At 35.8% G+C, this 26,143-nt stretch overlaps 1 long non-coding RNA gene across 1 annotated transcript in view, besides 1 other annotated feature; it reads right to left on the reverse strand.

Moving 5' to 3' along the window:
- The window catches only part of LOC105377865 (uncharacterized), a 374,941-nt gene that overhangs the window by 164,116 nt on the left and 184,682 nt on the right, over positions 1-26,143 (reverse strand). The window lies entirely within an intron of this gene.
- Positions 3,912-4,550: an enhancer, noted in NCBI's record as "NANOG hESC enhancer chr6:78803625-78804263 (GRCh37/hg19 assembly coordinates)". NCBI's record gives its function as "activates a minimal SCP1, AML or CMV promoter by ChIP-STARR-seq in primed H9 embryonic stem cells {active_cell/tissue: H9 hESC(primed)}" and the evidence as "EXISTENCE:reporter gene assay evidence [ECO:0000049][PMID:30033119]".

The raw sequence follows: 26,143 nt of genomic DNA on the forward strand, positions 1-26,143 counted from the left end.
CAGATTCACTGAGCCAGAATAAATTGCGTATTCAGTGGAAGGCTGGTCAAGGACTCAAAAGAGTGCAATCCTTTGTCTCTTCTCTAATTCTAACTTGGAAGACCCCCCTTCCAGTTGCCCTGCCTTACCGAACTGAACCAATGTACACCTTACACATATTGATTGATGACTCATGTCTCCCTAAAATGTGTAAAAGCAAACTGTACCCCCAACCACATGAGCACTGTGAGAGTTAAAGAAAGAGGAAAGAAACACGAAATGCAGCTGGTAGTTAAAGACAGGTTTACTTTAGCTCAAACCTGAGAGGTTGTTCTGGCTATTTCGGTCAGGAGCGCTTACTCTTACGGACAAAGAGTATATATTGTTTTAGGGTGAGGGGGCTTATCACAAGCTTGGAATGTTTATGTGTGTGGAGAAGTTTATGGCGGGGCTGGAATCTCTCTGGGAGGATGGGAGATTATCTTGGGGCAGACGTCTTTCCAGCCCAGAGAGGGATTATCTCAGGGCTAGCATCTTCCCTGCCAGAGGGGGGTTTATCTTGGGGCTAGCATGTCTCTGGTTGGGGAGGAGTTTGGAATGTTTCTGGTTGGAAATATTATTTGTGCTTTATGGTCATGCTGACCTTAGCCATTAGGCTGATGCCCTTTGGATTTAGGCAGTTTTTTATTAAGGTAAACTTTAGAATGAGGGGCTTGTCCAAGAGGCGATGCTCCTGCTCTGTCAAGCACATGTCTCAGGACTTCCTGAGGCTGTGTCACAGGTGCATCCTTAACCTTGGCAAAATAAATTTTCTAAATTGACTGAGACCTGTCTCAGATATTTTGCATTGACAAGACCTCGGTATCGTAACAAGTCCCTGGAAGGTGGATGTGGAGAATGCCTAGAAGGGACTGAAATCAGCATGATAAAATAGAGACAGAAATTAACTTGAGTTACAGAAAAATAACTTGAGCTTGATACTGGATATTTAAACATCATTGTATATCTATAACGACTTTGTATTTAATCTGAAAAGTAACAGAGGACTCTTATACGAGCTTAAGTGCAAAAGTGTAACATCACATTTCTTATTAGAATACTGTTATGGAGAAGATATTAGAGGAGAAATATAGCAAAACATGTTCCCTGATGAGTAGAAAGATAGTATTTATTATTAATTAACAAATTGATACTGTACTGTAAAAATCAATATCTCAATTCAACTCAAGCTCAGGATGCTTATTATTTTAACAAAATAACTTCAAGTTTCAGAATCATCAACCCTGAAAATCAGATTCTTACCCATCAGGACACTGCTAAAAAATGGATCTTCCAATAAACTCAACCTGACCAGCTGGCATAATTCTCTTAATAACTAAAGAGTTTTTAGAGACAGTGAAACCTCATCATCCATATAAGCTCTAGAAATTTAACACCTTTTAACTGTCCTACAGGGTATGAGGGGATGGGAAATCAAAGGGGATGACAAACCAAAGTTGTGAGAGCAGCATTAGTAGAGAAAGAGGAAGCAGCACTTTTATAACTGTTACTAGTGTCAGGCCTATGAGCCCAAGCTAAGCCATCATATCCCCTGTGACCTGCATTTATATATCCAGATGGCCTGAAGCAAGTGAAGAATCACAAAAGAAGTGAAAATGGCCGGTTCCTGCCTTAACTGATGACATTCCACCATTGTGATTTGTTTCTGACCTACCTTAACTGAGCAATTAACCTTGTGAAATTCCTTCTCCTGGCTCAGAAGTTCCCCCACTGAGCACCTTGTGACCCCCGCCCCTGCCCGCAAGAGAACAACCCCCCTTTGACTGTAATTTTCCACTACCTACCCAAATCCTATAAAACGGCCACACCCCTATCTCTCTTCACTGACTCTTTTCGGACTCAGCCGGCCTGTACCCAGGTGATTAGAAAGCTTTATTGCTCACACAAAGCCTGTTTGGTGGTATCTTCACATGGATGCATGTGAAAACTAGCATCTTAGGAACATAGCTATGGCTTTATCTTATCTCCTACCCAAATTCTAAGAGTTAATAAATATGCAATAAAATTTCAAAACGCTAAGAAAATAGGCACCCTAATAATATCCATCTAGATTACAGATAATGATACAGAATTAACAATGGTGTCCTTCTTTCCTTCTTCTCTCCTTCCTTCCTTCCTTAAATATTTATGTGCCAGGTACTTTTCTAGGGACCAGGAAAATAAAAGTCTCTGTTCTCATACAGGCTTATGTTAAACTTCAAGAAACAGATAATAAATATATGCATACATTCATATGTGTTATATCAGGTTGTAAGAAGTGTTCTGAAGAAAAATCAGGAAAGGAGATAGAGTGATTCAGGGGTAGAGTTGCAATTTTAAATAAAATGGTTGATGGTAGTGACATGAGAGAGTGATCGATGATCTGCAAAAAGAGTATGCAAAGCGAATGAGAGTATAAAAGTAATGAAGCAGGAGCATGCCTGTCATATGTGAAGAATCAGGTAGGTGACACATGTGGCTAGATTACAGAGCATTAGATGAGATCACAGTGGCAACTGAGATACCATGCCAGATAGGGCCTTTAGGTCATTATGAGGTTTTTGACATCCACTCCAAATGGGGAAGAAAGATATTGATGTATTATTATGTGCAAATTTATAATATCTTATATTTTCAAAGAATCACTCTATGAAGTAGGGAAAGACAGGAATCAAGATTAAGTCTAATGTCATGCCCCCACCTCTCTTCCACCAACAACTGGAACAATGACATTGACAGAGACAGTGATGACTGGGAAGTTGTGTGTTTGAGGTAAAGATCCGGAGTTTGGAGTTTAGCATGTTATGCTTGAGATTTCCATTGACCAGCCAAATGAAAATGTCTAGGAGGTAGTTGGACAAATATTTTGAAGTTAGAGGAGAAGTCTCAGCTGGAGAAAAAACTGCTTCAATGTTTGCATCTAGATAATATTCAGTGCCATGAAACTGGACGAGATCACCTAGGGAATGAGTTCAATTAAAGAAGAGAAGAGGTCTGAAAATTGAACCTAGTCACACTAATTAAGCAGTGTAGAGATGGAAAGAACCAGTAAAGGAAAAATGGGCCAGTTATTTAAGAGGAAAATGAAATAGTTTGGTGTTCTTTAAGACGTATGAAGAAAGTGTGGAAATTATTAGTTATGCCAAATGCTGCTGGTTAGTCAAATAAATCTAGAATTTAGAATTGGATTTAAAAGTTTATTTGTGGCCTACACAATACTTTCGGTGGGTGGGAGCTAAAACCTGAGTGTGGTAATTTTAAAAGAGAATGGGGGGAGAGGGACTGTAAACACTTTCTCAATACTTGCTGAAAAAAGGAGGTGAAATTTGTTGCAGTATCTGGAAGAAGATTTGGGATTAAAATGGAAATATGTACAACATGTTGCATGGTGATTGGGCTGGTTGAGTAGATTAGAAAAAGTTGGTAACATGGCATACAGATGGGAGAGTTTCCAGAGCTACGTTCTTGAGTAGATGGGGTAGAAATAGATTTGGGGCACAAGTGAAGGGGTTGCCTGAGGTATAAGCATTGCTAACTTATTAACAATAGCATCGGGAAGGGCAAAGTATAAGGTCTCAGATGCAGGTTAGTAGATTGATATAGAGGTCAGTGCTGGTGGACATTTTCTCTGATTGCTTCTATTTTCTCTGTGGAATGCTTGTGGGCAAAAAGGTGTGGGACATTTAAGGCAAGCAAAGGGATGAAACAGTATTCCCAGACTTGAAGTCAGCAGCTAGAGTGAAGTGAGTCAGCTGGCTGTGTGTTTTTCTTCAACCAGAGCAGTTAGAGAAATGAATTATCCAGATTTGAAGTTTGGGCAAAATAGAGACAAATGAATTTAGGAATTGGCAAGAGTGTAATTTTAATGATGAACCATAGACCTTAAACTTGGTAAGGAGGAATCTGTCAAAGAAAACTTGCAGTTGAGAGAGTTACACAGCCAAGGACAACTTTATTCAAGACAATTGTACGAGGGAGAGAGATGGAAATCAACTCCACCAAAACAGAAGGTGGGAGTGTTTTTAAGTGTAGGGTGAGCTGGAGGATATTATTGGGGAGGTTGGTCAATTGGGTGTGTCTAGCATGTTGAATGAGTCACTTCTGAATTTGCAAATGTTTTTCTTTGTGATTAGGCTATTTGTGTTTGCTAATTGGCACTTAGCAATTAGGCTGCTATCTTTCCAGAGGCTGAAAGAGAAGAAAGCTACCTTCCTTGATGATTACATTTCAAAGGGATGACTCCCAGGTCCTTGAGAGAGACATTACTGGTTTATAAAATGGGCAGGAGGTTGGGAGCTGTGTCTACACTTTAAAGAGGCAGATAAATAATTTGCAATTACAAGCTTTTTAAAGTAAGTACTCTAAGGAAAGGAAGGTTTCTGGCCTATGGTTAGGAGGAAATTTGTCTAAAGTTTAGTCAAGCCAAGGGGATAGTTAAGACTTGGTGTGAAGCCAGTAGAGGTGATGGTGAGAGACATGAATATAACAGAAGAAATGGGTTACAGGTTCCTATCTGGTCAACTAATTTTAGGTATTGCCATATTGGTGGGAGTTAATCGGGAATACAGGTTTTAGAAAGTAATATTTTCTCTATTCTGCAGAAGGAAGCTTTTCTTCTCCTGGAAGGAAAAAATTTTGGCATATTAGAAACAAAACTGAGTTACATAAAAAGCAACCTGACATTTGTTTTCAGAGTTACTATTGACACTTTTTATATTTGAGTGATTCATTAGAAGCAAGTATTATAAATAAATTAACTTTGTAAATTGTGCCATAATGAATAAACCTCCACAAATAAGGGAATGTAATAACCATCTTGTGTATATACACTATATATCGATAGATGCTATGTATTTTCTCAAGGATTATTTTACTTAATCTTCACAACAGTTACAATCGAGTTAGAATTAGTCTATATTTTATGAATGAAGAAAGTAAATCTGACACAGTTTTTAAAAAATTGTCTAAATAATAATCCAACTCAGTCTACTTCAGTATTGATGAAGCCCGCTTTATTGTCATTGTCACTATGCCATATGTAACTGTAATTGTAAGGCAAAATGAGTTTTACAAAAATAGCAGACTAAACTTATTGAAAAGTTTGTTTTCTCTAGTGTAATCACTTCCATATTAAACTTTTTCAAATATAAATTTTCTTAATAAGAATTTTATGTCAAAACAGCTATTGGATAGGTTCTTTTTACTTCAGGTAGGGACACTGCCAACATCCTGTAGGGGAATTTTTTTTAATACAGGCACAATGAATAGTGATTTCCAGCTGTGAACTAAAGAGTTTCTCAGTAAGAATCTGACTAACAGGTTTGCTGAAATATCTTTTAATTTGAAGCCCCATAATTTAATAAAGTTGGTTTCTTTAATATGCAATTTAGATCCTCTTAAAGCATTTTTCCATCCACTTCTAAAGATGATATATTGAGGTTACTTTCATTTTAATGATGCACTCTAAATCCACTTAATACATGTAGAGAAAAAATGCTTTTAGACTGACTTAAGGTAGAAATTCCTTTGAAGTAAAAACTGTATTTCTCCATTTCAATTTCATAGCAATGGCCAGTTTAAAGTGTTTCATTGGTATGAATATTCTCTTACAGGATTCTGGTAATATTAGATTTGAAAATATAAAAAAAAGTCAATGCGCTTTAACTACAAATCAATTTTAAGGGTCTGTCTTCAATATCAAATACCTTTCCAATTCAAATTACTTTGTTTTCTATAAGCACTGTGTAAATACAAGAGATGAATCATATCAAAAAATCAAATTGGTTGGCTCTAGCTATTGATTATTGGAGAATAAAATAATGTCAATGGCATAGCTGAGCTTCAGACAATTACAAAAATAAAGTTAATTGATGCTTAGACATCCAAAATCACATTTATTAAATCATGCACAAGCCTTCTCTTTTAGTTTAAAGGGTGCAATGAGTTATTTTTTATGCTATGAAGATTGCCAGAGTTTAAGGATGTGGTTGACAGTTCTTAAAAAATAATATGAATTGCATGGATCTGTTCGATACATTTAAGAAGGAGAATAAACATTAAATTTGCAGATCAACTGATCCTTTGATATGTGTTCCCACTTCCTGCATCAGAGAACATTGTCTTCATTGCTATAGGCTAGTTAGTAGAGCAGTTGTCTGGCTAACATCTTGTGGGGACTCACACTGACATGATTGTGGCATACACCATTATAATTCTCCTCATTTTACTTACTGTTTTTTAAAAAGGTGAGGAAAAAAATGCTCTGACAAATTGCCACTACTCTGTGGGGATTTTATATAAGAACTTGAAATGATGTTTGCCAAGTCCAAAGCACTAGGTAAATAAGCAGAGATACATGGAACATCACTGAGAGAAGACTCAAAAAGGTTTTCATAACTTTATAGTTCTGTGCTGACTTAAAAAATACTGACATTGATATTTAACATAATTTCCTGAAGTAATTATTTTTGCCTATATCTTTATTTTGAAGTAAAATATTATAAATAGGAAATATTACATAGAATAAATAACAGTGAAATTGTGTATACTCCAACATTTCCTGAATCATCTTCTCTATATGATGCCAGTGTGTAGCTGGCCACAAGAGAAATTTGCATGAGATTTGGACCAGTGAAACAGGAGCAATCAGTCCCTAAAGATCATCACAGTTACAGGCAGTGAAAGACAAATTGGAGATACCTGTGGGTCCCAATTTATCCTCACTCATTTCTGAATTCTGCTCTTCTTCCTAACCATTGGCCCACCTAAACCATAATCTCCTGGGCCTACCAGTGCATGCTTGGCTAAAAATTCACAGTGGATATAGCTGTGGAGAGGCAATCAGCCTTCCACAGACTCAATAAACTCAATACAAGTATTTGTTAATTCTTACTCACTACTTACCTTCTTTTCCTTACTTCCTTTCTTTTTCCTTCTTATTAGAAAGTAGGCACAATGAGAGCAGAGACTTAGTTTATCTTGTTTCTCTAACATACCTTCTATACCTGCAACATATTGCCTATTTCTGGTAAAAAAAAAATATATATATATATATATATATATATACATATATATATATATATATATAGTGTTGAATGAATGGAATAAGTACTATTAGCAACAAAGTGATTTAATAATCAAATTCTTAAGACCATATATTTTCCTAATGAACATTCTGATTAAGTATTGAATCTGAGTTCTCCACCAGCTTAATCAGTCTCCCTATAGTTAGCTGTAACCCAGTGTTGTGTGAACATGATACAATTTGCCTTCATTTGCATAACTGTTTATTGCCTCCTAAAAGTAATCAATAATGTGATTCTGTAAATGATCATGAATCTGAAATAATATATAAAATACCAAATTTAAATTAAGCTGTTACTATGGTTATAAATATTTTCTCTGTTTTCTTTGTAAAATATTTGGTTTTCTTAAAATCCTCGCTCTTTAGGCCATTTAGCAACCAGATGTTAGCCGGCTTTAGAAATACTTTATATCAGGAAAGACATTTAATCTGGACATTGCATTTATTAATGGCATTGTTTAGTATTGAAAAAGCTTAAAATATTGATTATTTACTTTTATCCTAAAATGTCATTCTGTTTCAGTCCAAATGGTTGATTTAAAAAAAATAGGAATATTTTATTTGTCAGAGGAGTTAACTCTTTCTTCTGTAAGGCACATCAGAAGTAGTATTACCTTTTTATTTGAGGTCAAGGATATTGACATAACAATTAGTAAAATGCTAGAGAAAATAAGCACAATGAAAGAATATTAAAATTCAGGACACAGTAGTTTATCAATAATCATCGTTTGTTGATGGCTATTGTAGTGAACCAGAAACTCCTAATCCAGACATTTTTAAAATGATAGAACAAGTTGGACACATGAAACTTCAGCATAGCAGCTGTATGACATTAGTTCATTTGCTACAAATCTCTCCAAGCTTGTTTTCTCAGACTTTTACAATATACACTAATAATTACATTCATGCTTGTTGAGAGATTATTTAAAAATTTATAAGGTATAAATTATGAGCATAAAAGATAATATAAGCACTGGAGATATCAATATTATTAATAATAATAATCATTGATCCCACTGACTCTGTAACTCTTTTCCAAGCATCAGCCCATTTTTATCATTTACTTTTAGTCACTCTGCCATATGTGGATCAGCTGCAAATTATCTCCTTTTACTTCCTATATTTTACTGAACACTTTATGTTCAAATGAAAAATTTGTAAAAAAGAATTACCTAGCTCTATTAGTCATAAAATCAACATAGACCAATGAACCTCAGGTACTAACCCTCACTTATCTGATTCACTGGGACACCAAAAAGGTCCTTTTCCAGAAGGACAATATTGTAAGTGTGAGCATGTTGAAACTCTGTATTACAATAAATCTTTAAATGCAAACGTTTTCTACCTGAAAGAAGGCCTGTGTTTGCCTTCCCTTCATCTCAAATTTAATTGTATGCCAAGAGCATTCTGTTCCATTGAGTTAACCTTGTACAAGAGAATAATATTTCAGCATTTTTATCCATGTATTTTCTTTTACTACTATAAAATTTTCCTCTTTGCCTTGCAGCTCTTTCATTAGAAACAAACAGGTTAAAATGTTTTGCTCCAGTGGAAATAATACAGAAAATAATCTTAGTGTTTGTTTCAAATTATTGGCTCTGAGTTCCAAAATATGCCTTCAATGTTTACAACACAAACAATAGCCCTGAAAAAAAAATTAAGAGTGATAAGAATTTATGTAACTAAAGATCCAGAACCTGGAGAACTCGCAGCATGAAGTTTATGCTATAAACTTGAGTAGGATGAATGAAGGATGCATTGGTACGTGTACAAACAGCTGCTGGAAAAAAATAGACACAAAAGGTATAAAGGCCTAAGCACACTAGAAGTGTATTACTAGCTCACCTAACTATTCAAGATGGGTATTCCTGTTTTAATCCATATTTCAGCTAACCAAGCAAATAAACTATTAGAACCTTTTTTAACTCCCCAGATGCAACATCAAATGTAGAGTAGCTACTTAGTGGGCCCAAATTAATAAATTCAGCTTGATCCAACTCTGTGTTCCTTCCACCATTATCCCACACCCTTAATATCCATTCCCACGCCTGTTCTCCAGTTTTCTGTTTACATAAATTAGAAAACTCAAGCAGTTATTTCTGAGTGTAGTGCACCTCCTCATGGGTCATACTCTCAGCCTCACCTCTATGGGCCCACCAGGACTTTAGTCTAGCTATAGGACTGGAAGCAAACAGGGGTGTTGGCTTCCTGAGGAGAATCAACATTATCTTGCCTGGAAACTGCCTCGGGGAGGCCATCACCATTGCCTCAGGCAGCACAGGGTTTATCTCCTCAAAGGTGGAAGGGCTGATGGCAGCATGGGTGGGGGAGGGGATGTTGCCACTATGGGGACGGGAAAGGTGTTTCCCACACCTCCCCATTCCAAGTTGCAGGGTCCCATTCTTTTCCAACAAATGCCCTCCTTTAACAGTAGACATCTGGTGAGGTTGGGCATGCACCTTTCGTTGCAGGTCGGCCACTCACACGATAAGAACTTGTGTCTATTTTTCCACAATTTCAGCTCTTTCTCTACAGGAGATAAGACTCTCAGCTCAATCTTAGCAGATTTGGGGCTCAGTATTTGCTTCTGAAGCTGGGAGATAGGATCCCTGAGTTCATCATTTTCTTTCATCACTTTGTCCACTGAACTTAGGAGCAACCAACCAGCAGCATTATGTTCCCGGTTCTCCGCATAGGGTCAAAGGTATTATGCATAGAGTCAGTAAACCCTTTGCTTCTCACGAGTGATGAACCATGAGTGTCAAATGCATTTATTTTGCATAACTTTCTAAACAGTTCATGCCAAGGACTATCAGGGTTCTCCATAGTATTAGAAGTAGAGTCCTTAGCAATTTGAGGTCTAATCATATTAAGCAGCCAACTCCAGAAACCCCCAAACCAATGAAATAACTCCATCCTTAATATTCTGTTCCTCTAGAACCACTCCTAGTACCAAAATATCTATATTAGTCAGGGTTCTCTAGAGGGACAGAACTAATGGAAAGTATATACATATGAGTTTATTAAGAGTTAACTCACACAATCGCAAGGTCCCACAATAGGCCATCAGCAGGCTGGGAAGCAAAAAGGGCCAGTCCTAGTTCCAAAACTGAAGAACTTGGAGTTCAATTTTTGAGGGCAGGAAGCATCCAGCATGGGAGAAAGATGTAGGCTGGGAGGCTAGGTCAGTCTCTCTTCCTACATTTTTCTGCCTGCTTATATTCTAGCTACACTGGCAGCTGATTACATTGTGCCCACCCAGATTAAATGACTCAAATGTTAACTTCCTTTGGCAATACCCTCACAGACACACCCAGGATCAATACTTTGTATCCTTTAATCCAATCAGGTTGACACTCAGTATTAACCATCACAATAAGCTATTTATTACTGATTCAACTTTGGGGCTCATTATTTGTCTGTACAGGGATTCAATTTATTCCTGGCTCAGCCTCTTCACATTATTTATGTGTTGCGTTATTTTGTGTTACGTTGATAAAACTGTCTCCAATCCACAGTGGCGATCCGTTTGGAAACAGCACTGCACTGACATTAGGAAACAGTTTCTGAAGAGACATCTGATTTTTAAAAATGTTTTAAAAATTGGCCAGGTGTGGTGGCTCACGCCTGTAATCCCAGCACTTGGGGAGGCCCAGGTGGGCGGATCACGAGGTCAGGAGATCGAGACCATCCTGGCTAACACGGTGAAACCCCGTCTCTACTAAAAGTACAAAAAATTAGCCGGGCGCGGTGGTGGGTGCCTGTAGTCCCAGCTACTCGGGAGGCTGAGGCAGGAGAATGGCGTGAACCTGGGAGGCAGAGCTTGCAGTGAGCCGAGACAGCGCCACTGCACTCCAGCCTGGGTGAAAGAGCGAGACTCCGTCTCAAAAAAAAAAAAAAAAAAAAAATTTTTAAAAATCTGTGAACTTTTAAAAATAGTAATGAAATGATAAAGTGGCAAACTTCAATATCTCAATAGTTTTATTTTATTATTTTAATTTTGTAACAACAAACATTTATTAAGACACTACTGTGTATCTATTACTTGGGAAGCTGCTAGGATAAAATGGAAAAACAAAAGCGAATTGGAGCCAGATTAGGTCTAGATTTGAATCAACTCTTCACCACTTGCTACTTGTGCCTTTGGATATACGTCACCTAACCTCTCGAACTTCAGTGGTCTCACTTGCACAATTAGAACAACAATTACTTCACAGACTAGCTGTGTGGATTCAGTAAATCCATGCATAGGAACATGTCTAATTGGTGCTTACAGCAGGCTGAATAATGACCCCCAAAGACACAAGGTTCTAATTCCTGAAAACTGTCATGAAAAAAAGATATTTATAGATGTCATTAAGAATCTTGAAATGGGAAGATTATCCTGGGTGGGACATAAATGCAATCACAAGTGCCCTTTTAAGAAAAAGGCAGATGGAGATTTGAATCGACAAAGGATACAGCAATGTGACCAACAGAAGCAGACAATGGAGTCATGGGGCCACTAGTTAAGGAATGTCAGCAATTACTAGAAGCTGGAAGAGCCAAAAAATGACTTCTCTAGAGCCTCCAACAGGAATGAAGCCCTGTCAACACCTTGATTTCCAGTGAAACTGATTTTAGACTTCAGGAGTTGAGAACTGTGAAAGAATATATTTCTGTTGTTTCAAACCTCCAAGTTTGTTGTAATTTGTTTAGGAAAGAAAAGACACAGGAAATAATATAGTGTTAGTTAATTTGCTTTTGTGTCTTGTTTTTAATCTAAATTGTGTTTTTAATATGGCAAAAATGCAAAGAATCTAAATAGGTGTAAAATGAAAGGTAATTCTCCTTTCCACACATTGTCCCTCAGTCCCCCTCCACAAAGGCAACCATTGTTACAAATTTTTTATGTGTTCCTCAAAGATATTCTATACATAGACAAACATGCATCAGAAAGAACTTTGTAAAAAGTTCATCCCATATAAATGGTATTTCAAAAGTCTACTTTCTTGAAAGCACATACAATGCTTTTCTATTTGAGACCAATCTATAGTACAGAATCTTCAGACTTGGAGTCAGGCACAATATAAGAAAAACCCAATGACAAGAGCAAGACTTCAAAGGAGCCACAATAAAGATGGCAAAGACATTTTATTGTTCATTAAATTTTTTATAGAAAAGTAAACAGAGAAGAATAGAGTCTCAATGCAGTAAGTTCCAAGGCTTGAGGCTGGAACTAGTTAGACAATTAAGTGACATGCAACTGGTCTGTGCTATGATGTATCATGTCAAGATATATCAAATAAATTTAAGTAATTATTTTGTCCACAGTTGAATGGAATCTAAAAAGAGGTGAAGTTGTAGGCTGATTAAGAAAGGAACAACATAGGCCGGGCGCGGTGGCTCACGCCTGTAATCCCAGCACTTTGGGAGGCCAAGGCTGGCCGATCATGAAGTCAGGAGATCGAGACCATCCTGGCTAACAGGGTGAAACCCCGACTCTACTAAAAATACAAAAAATTAGCTGGGCGCGGTGGCGGGCGCCTGTAGTCCCAGCTACTTGGGAGGCTGAGGCAGGAGAATGGCGCGAACCGGGGAGGCGGAGCTTGCAGTGAGCCGAGATCATGCCACTGCACTCCAGCCTGGGCGACAGAGCAAGACTCCGCCTCAAAAAAAAAAAAAAAGGAAAAAAAAGAAAAGAACAACATAGACAGGCTTTTGTATAACCATGTCTTTTTAGATGCTTTCATGTTTTTTGACAAGTTTTTCTTTGTCTCTACAGGTAATACTACATTGGAACTTTTAATCAGTTTTTATTACTGGAAACAAGGTATCATCATATTCCTTGTAATATAACTCTTGATACAATTATTTTATCTAATTGTCATGATTGCCCAATAAATTTATTTGATTAAAATTATTCCTACCCATGTTTAATAGCAATCAATTATCAACTCTTACTAATACAACGTAAGATATTGTATTATGAGATATAGAAGATCCCAAGATAAATAAAAACAAAGTCCCTGGCCTAAAAGAATTTGTAATCTGCTTTAATAGTCATGCATGTATATGGCAATTTGTGTTAAAATGGTTAAAAAATAATTGGAAAACTAAATGGAGGAAAAGATTATTTCCTACTATGAATCAGGAAAGAAAGTCTTTACGGAATAATTCACATTAGATCTGCATCTTCAAGATAGCTATACTTTATCAAGATTCAAAGTCTGGGCAGGAAAGCACAGTCAACATTGGAGGAACTATGAGAGAGCTTAATACATGGGGTCATAGATGCCTCAGAAAGTGTGGGAAGGAAAGGCTAATTAACCAGAGGAACAGAAAGACAGAAAGGTAATTGATACTGCCCAATTACCTTATATGGTTTGATATCAAGTCTGGCTCTTTATTTTTGAAGATCCCACTATCCTTCATTTTTAAATACCAGAGGCTCTATCAGGGCTACAGAAGACTTTTAACACATAGGCCATGGGATACTAACAGTAATGTTCTAAAAAATTCATTAGGTAAAGTGAAGGAACAAAAGGAAATTGTATATTTCAAATTACTGTCTTTTAACTGTCAAATTCCTATGTGAATTTGATAGAATTGAAGTGGGTGAGAATAACAAAGTGCTCCAATTTGCCAGCACAGATTTTTCCATTGTGCTTTAGTATAAGTCCCTTATAGCTTTAAAATGTTTACATTGTTATTTTCAGAAGACCGTGGAACTAAAAGCAGTCAAGTCATGATATAATTGTACTTTAAAAGTCTGTGAAAAAAAAAAAAGACAATAAAAAAGCTGAATACAAGTCTCCACCAAACACAGCTTGCTGCTGTTTTTAGTATGACTATTAGATTTTTTTTTACACCTGAATTTTCCCTAAGTCAGTACACCACTTTTGGTGTTTTGAGGCTAAATTGGAAGACCAATATTCATTATCCTCTGTGTTAGATTACTATTCCTTTTACTCTGATGAAGACTAAGCCAGAAGAGAACATGAAGAACAGCAAAACTACTCAGGTAGATGCAAGACAGAAGAGATTAATGAGGCCATGGAAGCAGAGAGGGGACATAAGAAAATTTGCTTCTGGAGCTTGTATGCATCAGTAACCAAAATCAAATGTATAAGTCAGAGGATAGAGGGACAACTATGAGCAAATTCAGCTACGCTTAAAAAGTTATGTTTTACTACTAAGTTAGTTATTAATAAGTAAAGAAAATCAGCCCTCATATACTTAAAAATAATTATGCATATTATGATATTGACTTTTTAAAACATGTTTCTTTGGCACATAGTTGTGGAACACCAACTGCAGAATCACTGTGGTTTTAACTATTTTGAAGTTAATTGATTAAATGAATAGATAGCAAGCCTTCACATCTGTATAAGATTTTATAACTTGCATTCAGTAAATATAATCACACTTGCTTTTGTAATGATATAGATATGGAGATATGGGGGGGTATCAGATCCACTTTCTAGTTCAAGATTCATAGATAGTGGCTTGCCAATGTCACATAACCTCTAGTTCGAAGACTGAGGACTCAAACTTAGGTTAAGATTGATTCCCATCATATAGTTAATACACATGCTGTACACAAAAACTAATGTAGCAATTGTTTGATTAAAGGCATTTATAAGTATCAGAAAATATCTATAGCTATTAAAACTAATATTTTAAGCACTTACTATGTTCCAGATACTATTCTATGTGTTTACCCTCATAACCACTCTACGAGGTAAGTAATATTACCCCATTTTACTGATGAACACATTGAGTCAGGAAGTGGTTGCATAAAATACTCAAATTCATTCAGCTAATATGACACCATTATGTGAATCTAGGGAACTGGGCTTCAGAACCCATGCTCCTAACTGCTAAGCATATTGTCTCAAAATTAGATATGTAAAAAACAAAATTATTTTAGGTCTAGTTACTACTAGCAAACTGATAGGAATGTTTACATTTTGCTCCTCATCAATACATGGCCAGAAATGCTCAGCCAAATTAGAATAGAAAAGTGATTTGAATACTATAGATAGTACATTTAAATAATTAAGACTCCCTCTCCCATTTTGCTTTGAATATGCAGGACCTGGCTTTTGAGGAATATATAGTGTATGTTGACAGGACTTAGAAAATACTGCTATTAATCAAAATCTAAAGTCAATAGGAAAAGATAAAAATGTTCATATATTTTATTAATAATTGTAATAATTTCTGGCATATTATCAGTTGAATTGCTAAGATTCCAAAGTAGATCTGTTAGATAAATGTTCAACTTCCTACTTTATTTACCTGGGAAGAATTTCCCAGTGCCAATCATTTAGATTTTCATAGTAGAGAAGAGTTTTATAATATAGATTCAGATATGTCATTTATCTCCTAAGATAAAAAACAAAAACAAAAAATTGGCTCCCTGGTGCTGGGCAGGGGCCAGGTGGCTAGTTCTAGTTCACCTAGAAGGATGAGGTGTGAGCCTTTATCCTTCAGTGGTCAATCAGGTCCATGGGGAATCTTAAAAGAAGGAACTCACGGAGTGAGTGACTAACGCTCACTCTGCTCTAAACCTTAACAGGGGAAAGTAAAAGTAGTTTGGAGGTTTCTGCCTCTTTCAAACAGCTAAGAAAACCAGAAAGGAATTTGCATTGTAGTCTTTACTAGGTGTTTCACTAAATGTTCTCCAAGCCAATAGAATCAGTGTAACACACAGACAGACACACACACACACACACACACACACACAGAGTGAGAGAGAGAGACAGAGACAGAGAGAGACAGACAGACAGAGAGAGTAAGAGATTAATTTTAAGGACTTGGTTCATGCTCATGCAGGGGCTGGCCAGTGTGAAATTTGTACGGCAGCTCAGCAGTCTGAAAACTCAGGCAAGATGTTTATGTTAGAGTCTTGAGATATAATTTTTTCTTCTCTGGAAAACCTCAGCTTTTTATTCCAAGGCCTTCAACCAATGAAATGAGTCTCACCTACATTATTAAGGATAATGCCCTTCGCTTAAAGTCTGCTGAGTGTAAATGTTAATCACATATACAAAATGCCTTCAGAAGCAACATCCAGACAAATGTTTGACCAAACAACTGGACGCCACAGCCAAATTCACACATAACTAACCATCACACTTTGTAATAGTCTTCTCAGCTTCTCTTCCTTTAACTCATCCATATACATCAACAAATCATGTGCTCAATTCAATAAAGATAGCTAAAGATATAGTAATTGCCTCAAACTCTTTATCTTTTTCCTGACCTGTTTCAATAATACCTTCAGTTCACCCTAAAATACTGATGATTATTCAACACTCTGATGCCAGGCTGTCCTTTGACGATCTGGATAAAGGACTTGTTCCTCTTCTCTTCAGACACTCCTTAAAATGGATCTCACAGCACTGATCTCATGCCCAGTAGCCCATCTAGACTAATCCAAATGCTCAGGGAGTGAATCAGATTCTGACCCTAAAAGAAATTTGAAATTTCCTGTAGTACTTCCTGTAATATTCCCTAGAAACTAAAAATAATGGGGATGTAAGACATGACTTTACATTATCTGACTATGACCTGGCAATTATCTACTTCTGTGTACTATAAGAATACATAATTAGGCCACTGTCTAAGTCTCCACTACTTTCCCTCTTGTGTAATTTAACCTTCTGCTATGGTTTGAACATCTGTCCACTCCAAAATTCATGTAGTGTTTAATTGCCAGTATATTGATTTTAAGAAGTGGGACTTTTGTGAGGTGATTAGACATAGGGGCTCTGCCCTCATGGGTGGAATTAATGCCATTATAAAAGGGCAAATTTGGCCCCCTTTTGTCCCTCTTAGCCCTTTGGCCTTCTGCCACATGAGAATCCAGCCTTTCTCCCCTCTGGAGAACACAGCGTGCAGGGCACCATCTTGGAAGAAGAGAAAGGTCTCACCAAACCTGCCTATGTTTTGGGCTGAGACTTCCCGGCCTCCAAAAGTGTGAGAAATAAATTTCTGTTTTTTTATAGATCACTCAGTCTGTGGTATTCTGTTATAGCAGCCCCAAATGGACTGAGACACCTTTCTGTTTCTGCATCACACTAAGGCCATTTCTTCTTCAGGGATTTTGCCTATTGCTGTTTCTTCTGCTTAGCATGCTCTTTCTTTGGGATTCCAAATGCCTTTTTCATTCTTATCATTCACATCCTAGATAAAAGTCATCGAATATGCCTCTATCTAAATTATGCCTTTTTCTTCTGCCCTGGCCATTCATATCCATTTCATCCTCTACATTTTCTTTATTGCACTTATTGCTATTGGAAATTATCTTATTCATTTTTTTTCTTGTTTGTCTACACCTTCCTACCCACCTCTAGCTCCACTGTGATAAATGAGTTTTGAGATTTTGGGGATGTGTAGGAATCTTTGAGATTTCATGGAAAACAATCACTCCTGTGCCTCATTTTTAATTTAAATAAATTCAGAACATTTTGCTAATAGGATTATTTTGCTAATAATTTAATAATACTCTGTCACAATTGTGTTAGAATCCACATAACCAGGGCAAACCTACAGAACATATTGAGGTGGGAAAATTATATATTAATTGTCTTTAATTCCTCCTTTGGTGTCATTTTCTTATTTCTATAACTACTTATCTTTGAACTCCAGGTCCTCCTACCTTTTAATTGTGACTCTTATTTTTATCACTAAAAATATCTATCTAAAAAATCCCTATACATAGTCTTGTAACTCCCTATAAGAGAGTGGGAAGTTGACCCTCTGGGAGGATTATATATTAAATGCACAGTATTTATCTTTTGCTGTCAAGTTTCTTTGACTAAACACTGGGTTTGTGAGATACAACAATGTCGCATATAGCTTAAGTTTGTTCGTTTTCATTGCTATGTAGTATTCCATGACATGAATAAATCAGAATTAATTTATTCATATTAAAATTACTGGACATTACGATTGCTTTGATTTAATGATGGCTATGAATAAACTATGAATACACTATGAATGTCTATGAATGTTCCTGGACATTGATTTTCATGCACACATATATGCATTATTGTTGGGTATGTACCTACAAATGAAAATGACTAGATTTCATTAGGCATCTAGATACCAGCAGTTATAGTGTTTACAATACATGGATAAATCACAACCCAATACCAACAACTAAACATTTAGATTGTTTTCAATTTTTTTGTTGTTTTCAATTTTTTTTTGGTGGGGGAATGGAAGGTTAAATTAAACAGAAATTATATAATTTAAACAAATTTAGACAGTCTTAAAAAGGGGGTTAATCAAATTATAGTAGTTTGTATATTATGATAAACAACATGTTTTTTCTGAAATAAAGAGCTCATCCTAGGATCAGAGAAAAATCAAGTGACAGTTGCCTATTGTTATGACCAGCACTTTATTTGTTAACAGATCAACATCTCTTATTTTTGCTTGTATAATAAGTCCTGGGTGAAGTCATGGAAGCAACTCTGGGCATGAAGTAAGGTGAGCCACCTTCTCATTTTATCAATGTCATAGACCATTGATGTAGTCTTTTACTTATTTTTTCAACCTTTCTGGGGCTTGGTTTACTGATAAATAAAATGAAAATTTTAGAAAATCATTATTTTAACTCTAAAGTAAACTCGAATATAATTTTGTAATATAATATTTGTATTCCATCACTAATCTTATCTATAGGCCGTATTGAATTTCGCAGGAATTAGCAAGTGGTAAATATTTCCAACTACATTGAAAATAACAAATTACTTAGCATGTTATTAGAGAAGCCCAAAATGGTTTCTGATAATTTTCCAGCATGAATAATTATTCTTCATTTAGAGAAAAGATTTTTTTCTGAGCATTCATCCTCTAATACCATTATTGTCATTTTAATAAATTAGTTTTAGAGCACTGCAATTGCTATTTTAAGACATTCAGTTAGAGGAGCAACATTTTGAGAATACACCACAAATCTGTGATTAGAAAACACTTTATTATGCTCTCTAAAGAGACAAGTTTTTAGTCATTTTTCTATGAACAAAATTCTAAGAATTTCAAAATATAGTGTGACTGTATGAGTTGGAGAAGGAGCAGAGACAAAATTAAAATGCTGCACTAGGTTTGAAAACTGGTTCACCACAAGGTGTTTGCTATTGCTTATGTGCTTTCAGAGCACAATATCATTTTCATTATCTTTGCTTTGATATGGATTTAGCATCAGCCTTCAAATACTGAACATACATTTTAGATGTTAGACAATAAAATAGGGTCTAGAAAAAGTGAATGTATTTTTAGAATAATAAAGAATATATTTTATATCCTCTGATCTTCATAAGAGAATAATGAAAGCAGATTCTTAGATAACTAAATAAAACACTTCTGAATGGGTCTGTTCCTTGAAGGTAGAAAAAAGGACTTTCAGTTAGTTTTGTTTGTATTTTTTAATCTATGAAAATATAAATCTCATTTTATGCATAACTACCTTATTGAATTGCTATCACCACATATAATTACATATTCATGAATAAATATATACCTACTATATATATAAAATATATGTTTCAACATTTCAATGCACATTAATAAATGAACAGCCACCTTCCCATCACAGAACTATTGACATGAGTCTCTCAGGTTTTCCATATATGCCATTAGAATTAGGAGGATACTCTGTTTTAGTAATAATTAGGATAGTCTTTTTTTTTTTTTATAGTCCTGGCTCTCTCCAGACTCCAAATTCTTGGTTTATCATATGTTTAGGATATAAATGGCCAAAATATATTTTGAAAATAATGGGAGAGGGAAAACAGACAGAAGTAGAATCTCCTTGATGCATTCAGAGATTAGTGTTCTTAAGAGACAGTGAAAACCTGCATAGCTCAAGGTTTGTGTGTTTATGAACAAGCCTGTCATATTTCCAGTAAGGTGCTAGGGTGAGCACAACACATTAAGAACCTGGCAGTGCAGCACGGGTCATTTCATGACTGCATGGCTTCTTGTATCCCTTGTAAATACAAAATACACACAAAAAAGCCTCATTTGGCTCCGATTTTACTACAAGGCAACAGTAATGCATAAATACAGAAGAATCAAACAAAGACAGTGGCTTTTTTTAAATAGAAAAAAAGTGACATGAAAGGAAAGCATTTCAAAGCAAATTGAAAGTTGCCTAAAAAATATTAGTAGAACAAAAATAAATCCAAAAAGGAAGAAATGCAAAAGTAAAATGAAAATTGAAATGGCTTTTGAAGTTTGTAGTATGTTTCTGAACTGCTACAGAAAGAGGGCTGGAACGGTGAAATAAAAATTAAACAATGGAATGAATTAGAAAGAAAAACAGTCCATGGTTTCAATGTGATTATAAGTTGAGATACCATAAAAAATACATGTAGAAAAATTCACAAGTGTTTTATGCATATGAGATTAAATTTAGCATAAAAAAGGATCTCCTGGCATCTGTACAATGTAAAAGATTTTAAAATGACATTTATGATTAAGGATCAAATAAAGTGCCTGAATGATTTGCAGTGAAAGATAGTACACATAGAACTGCATTACTTCAGACACATCCTAATAGATTATTATGTTTTATTCTAAAAGCAAAGCATTAGTCTCATATAAGGATTATAATGGTGATAATGTCAAGATAAGCTTTTATTTAGATATTCTGCCATTTCTGAGAGTCCTCAAATAATCAATCTCTAATATATGACCTGTAAAGTAGACTAACTGCTTTAATAAGGTCTCCCTTAAGCTTTCAAGACAGCTCATTCTCTCTGTTGATAAAATGTGTAACCTTAGATTCTTTCTCTATAAAACCTTCCCAGAAAGCTCCAGCTGGTGACTTTACCATTGCTCAAGTTAGGGAACTTATAGTCTTCAACTAATCATGTGCTGATAGGAGTAAATCTATGATTTGTGGCATCTGAGGCACATATATTTGGGGAAGAGATTTAGGGAAAAAATACAAAATTATAAATACAAAATGAGGTACAGGGCCTTGGAAGTCAATTGAGATGTCCTTAGGTTGATGCTTTATTAACTTTTAGGTAAATCAGCCCCTGTGATGTATCTAAAGGTAGCTAACTCCTTTATTTGCCTAAAATTATTTTAGTAGGCACCAGAACATTCCATGTTTTCTCAGAATTGTAGCCAAACCTTTAAAGCTGAGGGCAATGAATGATAAATATCCTAAATTCTGAGTATATTTCTTGAATAGATTTACTAAGAGGTAGTCCAACTGACCCTTTGACCACTTTCTATCACACTCTATAACTATTCTCTTCTGTAAGAGAAAGGTAAAGATCTATTGGAGAAAATTTTAAATGAAATTCATAGGGCTAAACAGTTCTGTGGCTTTTCCCACCAACAAAATCAAGTTAAAGGAGAGCTCGAGTGATTAGGGTTATCTGCAAAAGAGTAGATACTTCATATACTGACTGGATGTTTGCTCACCTGTAGATATTCAAATGCCTGGCCTATACTATTAAAGAATTGAGCATGAAAAAAATTCTCAGGAGAAGTTCACATGTGTTCTCAATAATTTGGAGCCATAAAGTGAATCCAAAAGTTGCTTAAAGTTGCGTACAATATTAGCAAGTTAGAAAGTTACACCAATTTTTTGAAATATTAACAAAATAGACCACTAGCTAGATTAATAAAGATGAAAAGAGAGAAGAATCAAATACAAACAATAAATGATAAATAAGATATTACCACTGACCCCACAGAAATACAAACTACCATCAGAAAATACTATAAACACCTATATGCAAATGAACTAGAAAACCTAGAAGAAATGGATACATTTTTGAACATATACACCCTACCAAGACTAAAACAGGAAGAAGTCCTTGAATAGATCAATAACTAGTTCTGACATTGAGGCAGTAATTAATAGCCTACCAACCAACAAAAGCCCAGGACCAGATGGATTCTACCAGAGGTACAAAGAGGAGTTGGTACCATTCCTTCTGAAACTATTCCAAACAGTTGAAAAGCAGGGACTTCTCTCTAACTCATTTTGTGAGGCCAGTGTCACCCTGATACCAAAACCTGGCAAAGACAAAACAAAGAAAGAAAACTTCAGACCAATAACCCTGATGAACATTGATGAGAAAATCCTTAATAAAATACTGGCAAATCAAATCCAGGAGAACATCCAAAAGCTTATCCACCACGATCAAGTCAGCTTCATCTCTGGGATGCAAGGCTGGTTTAACATAAGCAAATCAAAAAACATAATTCATCACATAAACGATCAATGACAAAAACCACATGATTAACTCAATAGAGGCAGAAAAGACCTTTGATAAAATTCAACATTCATTTATGTTAACAACTCTCAATATACTAGGTATTGATGGAACTTATCTCAAAATAAGAAGAGTTATTTATGACAAAACCATAGCCAATATCATACTGAATGAACAAAAGCTGGAAGCATTATCTTTGAAAACTGGCACAAGACAAGGATGGCCTCTCACCACTCCTATTCAACATAGTATTGGAAGTTCTGGCCAGGGCAATCAGGCAAGAGAAAGAAATAAAGCGCATTCAAATAGGAAGATAAGAAGTCAAACTGTCTCTGCTTGCAGATGACATGATTCCATATTTAGAAAACCCCATTATCTCAGCCCCAAAGCTCCTTAAGCTGATAAGAAACGTCCGCAAAGCCTCAGGATACAAAATCAATGTGCGAAAATCACAAGCATTCCTATATACCAACAATAGACAAGCAGAGAGCCAAATCATGAATGAACTTCCATTCACAGTTGCTACAAAGAGAATAAAATACCTAGGAATACAGCTAACGAAATTTGTGAAAGACCTCTTCAGGGAGAACTACAAACTACTGCCCAAGGAAATAAGAGAGGACACAAACAAATGGAAAAACATTCCATCCTTGTGAATAGGAAGAATCAATATCATAAAAATGGCCTTGCTGCCCAAAGTAATTTATAGATTCAATGCTATTCTTATCAAGCTGCCATTGACTTTCTTCCAGAACTAGGAAAAACTACTTACATTTCATTTGGAACCAAAAAAGAGCCCACATAGCCAAGACAATCCTAAGCAAAAGAACAAAGCTGGAGGCATCACACTACATGACTTCAAACTATACTTCAAGGCTACAGTAACCAAAACATCACGGTACTGGTACAAAAACAGACACATAGAGCAATGGAACAGAATAGAGATCTCAGAAATAACACCGCACATCTACAACCATCTGATCTTGCACAAACCTGAGAAAAACAAGCAGTGGGGAAATGTATTAATCTGTGTTCATGCTGCTGGTAAAGACATACCTGAGACTCTGAAGAAAAAGAAGTTTAATAGGACTTACATTTCCATATGGCTGGGGAGGCCTCTGAATCATGGCATGAGGTGAAAGGCACTTCTTACATGGGGGGCAGCAAAAGAAAAATGAGAAAGACACGAAAGTGGAAACCCCTGATAAACCCATTAGATTTTGTGAGAGTTAATTCCCTATCATAAGAATATCACAGGAAAGACTGACCCCCATGATTCAATTTACCTCCACCTGGATCCTTCACACAACATGTGGGAATTCTAGGAGATACAATTCAAGTTGAGATTTGGGTGTGGACACAACCAAACCATGTCAGAAAAGGATTCCCTACTCAATAAATCATGCTGGGAAAACTGGCTAGCCATATGCAGAAAGCCAAAACTGGATCCCCTTATACAAAAATTAAATCAAGATGGATTAAAGACTTAAATGTAAAACTCAAAACCATAAAAACCCTAGAAGAAAATCTTGGCAATACCATTCAGGAAATAAGCATGGGCAAAGAATTTATAATGAAATCACCAAAAGCAACAGCAACAAAAGCTAAAATTGACAAATGGGATCTAATTAAAGAGCTTCTGTAGAGCAAAAGAAACTGTCATCGAAGTGAACAGGCATCCTACAGAATCGGAGAAAATTTATGCAATTTACACACCTGACAAAGGTCTAATATCCAGAATTCACAAGAAACTTAAACAAATTTACAAGAAAAAAAAAAACAATCCCAGCAAAAAGTGGGCAAAAGACATGAACAGACACTTCTCAAAAGAAGACATGTATGCGGCCAACAACCATATGAAAAAAAGCTCAACATCACTGATCATTAGAGAAATGCAAATCAAAACCACAATGAGATAACATCTCATGCCAGTCAGAATGGCAATTATTAAAAACTCAAGAAAAAAATAGATGTTGGTGAGGCTGTGGAGAAATAGGAATGCTTTCACACTGTTGGTGGGAATGTAAATTAGTTCAACCATGTAGAAGACACTGTGGTGATTCCTCAAAGATCTAGAACCAGAAATACCATTTGACCCAGCAATTCCATTACTGGATATATACCTAAAGGAATATAAATCATTCTGTTATAAAGATACATGCACATGTATGTTTATGCAGCACTATTCATAATAGCAAAGACATGAAATTCACCCAAATGCCCATCAATGATAGTCTGGATAAAGAAAATGTGGTACATATACACCATGGAATACTGTGCAGCCATAAAAAGGAATAAGATCATGTCCTTTGCAGGGACATGGATGAAGCTGGAAGCCATCATCCTCAGCAAATTAACACAGGAACAGAAAACCAAACACCACATATTCTCACACATAAGTGGAAGCTGAACAATGAGAACACATGGAACCAGGAAGGGGAGCAATATACACCAGGGCCTGTTGGGGGGACAAGGGGAGGGAGAGCATCAGGACAGATAACTAATGCATGCTGGGCTTAATATCTAGGTGATGGTGCGGCAAACCACCATGGCACACATTTACCTATGTATCAGACATGCATATTCTGTACATGTATCCTAGAACCTAAAATAAAATAAAATTAAAAACACAAAAAAGAAGCTATATTATCACTGCTTTGCAGGGCAAAGATGCATGAGTTTTTGTGGCCCAAGTTGGGTAGAATTTTAATAAAACTTTTCAGTTACTCCAAAGTGACCCTAAAGGGTAATCAGATGTGATCAAAGGAAATCTGGCAGCGTGTTTTCTCATGGTAGGAGAAGGAAAAAGTTTTTCTTATTTATGCTCTATGGAATTCAGGTTATTCAATGAAAGTTAAACTTATTTATTCAGTTGGTAAATTCCTTGGAAGGAACTAGGTTTATTTGTGTTTACATTTTCTGTGGCACTTGATATAATGCCTTCAATATTGTATTTGTTCCATGAATATTTGTTGGTTTGTTGATTACTTCCCTGTAATCTTTTTCATTGTCAATTGAAGTCTAGGAGAGGAACACCAGTTTTCTGAAAAGTGACTTAGCACAGACGAACAGCTGATTTCTTGCATTACTTTGCTAAAATGAGGGTTCTTTTATAATTATAAAAATTCAGCATTTATGCCATTCATTTCAAGTGTTTTTATAGGTATATAGCAGTGAAGGATTGTTACTCATAATCCAACTATTTTTGAGAAATGGAATCCATACAAACTCTCCACAAGAAGAGTAAAACTCGAATTTTCACTGAACTTTCCTTTGTATAACTCCCAGAGATAGACCCTAGATTGCTGATGATAAAAATTATGCTCCAGCTTTGAAATGTCAGCTATCAATTTCATAGCACTGTTTGACATGTGACAGCTTTTTCATGTGAACAAATTCCTATAGATTCTGACCTAACATGATTTCCTTTGATGAGAGTCAGTATTGTTTTGAAACATTCAATACATGTTTTAAAGGAAAATTTTACAATTTTAATAAAACCACTAAACTAGACTCATAATATTGCTGAGCATATCAAAAGAACGAGTTCAAATAGGATCTGCAAAAAATGACCAAAGACATATTATTTAGTGAGGCCTGGGGATTCATTTGTCTCAGGTCATTTTGACTAGATCTCTACTACACAGTTTAGTTACCAGTGTTGCGGCCACATATCTTTTGGAATGCTATATATTGTATTTTTATCAAAGCTAGCAAACAATATTTAAAACAGAATATCACAGTGCTTGATAAATAATCATTACAAAAGTCTTATATAATTATTGAGGTTGCACTGAGAAACTTC

This window comes from Homo sapiens, chromosome 6 (assembly GCF_000001405.40).
Source record: "Homo sapiens chromosome 6, GRCh38.p14 Primary Assembly".
Lineage (NCBI taxonomy): Eukaryota > Metazoa > Chordata > Mammalia > Primates > Hominidae > Homo > Homo sapiens.